The sequence below is a fragment of the Homo sapiens genome, chromosome 6, assembly GCF_000001405.40.
Source record: "Homo sapiens chromosome 6, GRCh38.p14 Primary Assembly".
Classification (NCBI taxonomy): domain Eukaryota; kingdom Metazoa; phylum Chordata; class Mammalia; order Primates; family Hominidae; genus Homo; species Homo sapiens.
Window position 1 is genome coordinate 107,146,838 of NC_000006.12, and position 2,751 is coordinate 107,149,588.

At 45.1% G+C, this 2,751-nt stretch overlaps 1 annotated feature.

The window, feature by feature from the left end:
* Nucleotides 2,251–2,751: an enhancer, noted in NCBI's record as "H3K4me1 hESC enhancer chr6:107470292-107470792 (GRCh37/hg19 assembly coordinates)". NCBI's record gives its function as "activates a minimal SCP1, AML or CMV promoter by ChIP-STARR-seq in primed H9 embryonic stem cells {active_cell/tissue: H9 hESC(primed)}" and the evidence as "EXISTENCE:reporter gene assay evidence [ECO:0000049][PMID:30033119]".

Below are 2,751 nucleotides of genomic sequence, written 5' to 3' on the forward strand. Positions count from 1 at the left end.
AAGAGGTAAATTATTATTATCTTGTTAGAGTGCTTTGTGTTTTTAAAAGACAGTGCAAACAACTTTATTATTAATAAAACATAATTAACAATAATGGAAACTATTAATAACAATAAAATGTGCCCCTCTATTCAAGCCTTTATCATTAAAAAAAAAAAAATGACAATGTTGGGTAGGCCAGGCGGGGTGGCTCCTGCCTGTAATCCCAGCACTTTGGGAGGTGGAGGTGGGAGGATAGCTTGAGGTCAGGATTAGATGAGCCTGGCCAACATGGTGAAACCCTGTCTCTACTAAAAATACAAAAAATTAGGCAGTCATGGTGACTCGCACCTGTAATCCTAGCTACTCAGGAGGCTGAGACAGGAAAATCACTTGAACCTGGGAGGCGGAGGTTGCAGTGAGCCGAGATCCTGGCAGTGCACTCCAGCCTGGGTGACAGAGCAAGACTTCATCTCAAAAATAAAAATAAAAATAAATCACAGCCTGGGTATGGTGGCTCACGCCTGTAATCCCAGCATTTTGAGAGGCTGAGGCAGAAGGATCATTTGAGATCAGGACTTCGAGACCAGCCTGACCAACATGGTGAAACCCTGTTTCTACTAAAACAAAACAAAACAAAACAAAACAAAATTAGCCAGGCATGGTGGTGCGCACCTGTAATCCCAGCTACTTCGGAGGCTGAGACATGAGAATCGCTTGAACCTGGGAGGCGGAGGTTGCAGTGAGCTGAGATTGTGCCTCTGCACTCCAGCCTGGGTGACAAAGTAAGACTGTGTCTCAAAATAATAATAATAATAAATTACAATGTTGGCAGGGCCCAGTGGCTCATGGCTATAATCCCAGTGCTTTGGGAAGCTGAGGCAGGAGGATTGCTTGAAGCCAGGAGTCCAAGACCAGCCTGGGCAACAAAGTGAGACCCTGTCTCTACAAAAAAATAAAAATAAAAAAATTAGCTGGGCAGGGTGGTTTGCGCTTGTATTTCTAGCTACTCTGAAGTTATTCAGTTATATCAAATGAATTAAAAACAAGCCAACTAATCGATCACTGACTGTGCTTTGGTGAAGGTGTGGCAAGCCTTCTGCAGATTGAGAAGAAGTCCTTACAGATTCTAAAGACAATTCCTTGGAGCTTCTATTCGTCATAACAACAGGATTTCAAAGTGTGAAAACAAATGAATAGGCAGGAAAGGATCTTCCTAAAACTAAGAACTCCAGGAAGGAGTCTGAAAACAGTTTTCCGAAAAGCAAGGTTCTCCTTATTAGTGATGAACCTGCTGATTAGCTGGAGTCTTAAAAAAAAAAAAAGTGGCCGGGCACAGTGGCTCACGCCTGTAATCCTAGCACTTTGGGAGGCCGAGGTGGGTGGATCACGAGGTCAGGAGTTCGAGACCAGCCTGGTCAACATGGTGAAACACTGTCTCTACTAAAGATTAAAAAAAATTAGCCAGGCGTGGTAGCACATGCCTGTAATCCCAGCTACTCGGGTGGCTGAGGCAGGGGAATCTCTTGAACCCAGGAGACAGAGGTTGCCGTGAGCCGAGATCGCACCATTGCACTCCAGCCTGGGCAACAAGAGCGAAACTCTGTTTCAGAAAAAAAAAAAAAAAAAGGTAAATTTATATGTACATTTTCCCAAATTAAAAAAAGATATCATAAGAAAACTCAAAAAACAAAAACCACAAGCTCCCAAGCCTGCTTGTTTATTTTATTTATTTATTTTTTTGAGACAGAGTCTCGCTTTGTCACCCAGGCTGGAGTGCAGTGGCACGATCTCACCTCACTGCAACCTCCACCTCTGGGTTCAAGCGATTCTCCTGCCTCAGCCTCCCAAGTAGCTGGGACTACAGGCATGCGCCACCACGCCTGGTAATTGTTGTATTTTTAGTAGAGACGGGGTTTCACCATGTTGGCCAGGTGGATCTCAAACTCCTGACCCCAGGCGATCCGCCCGCCTTGGCCTCCCAAAGTGCTGGGATTACAGGCATGAGCCATCGCGCCCGGCCTAAAACCTGCTTATTTAAAAACACCTTTAGTATAGCCATTTGTCAAATTTTGAAAGGAGATCATTGAGGATTATTCAGGTTACTTTCTGGTTACTGGAGTTCAATGTGACCAGAAAAAAGTCCTATATCTTTTTGGAACATTTTGCATTAATGTATACGTCTTTTAGCCCAAGTTTGTAGGTGTCACCCACATCTTGGGCCATAGAATAATATTGTCATAGGTAAGATAAAGTTACAAACACTGGAGAATGAAACCCTGGACCAGGCAAACAATGTCACTGATCATTTATTTTTAGGTGTGACTGGATAGCCACATTATATAAGCAAGATAACCCAAGAGAATTTGGTGTTATCAAGTAAAATATACAAGGTTGGCCGGGCATGGTGGCTTTGGGAGGCCGAGGCTGGCGGATCATGAGGTCAGGAGATCGAGACCATCCTGGCTAACACGGAGAAACCCCGTCTCTATTAAACAAAATACAAAAAATTAGCCATGCCTCAGCCTCCCTGTAGTCCCAGCTACTTGGGAGGCTGAGGCAGGAGAATGGCGTGAACCCGGAAGGTGGAGCTTGCAGTGAGCCGAGATCGCACCACTGCACTCCAGCCTGGGGTTTCGCCGTGTTAGCCAGGATGGTCTTGATCTCCTGACCTCATGATCGGCTCATCTCGGCCTCCCAAAGTGCTGGGATTGCAGGCGTGAGCCACCGCGCCCGGCTGTTCTTTTTTTTTTTTTTGAGAGGAGTCTCGCT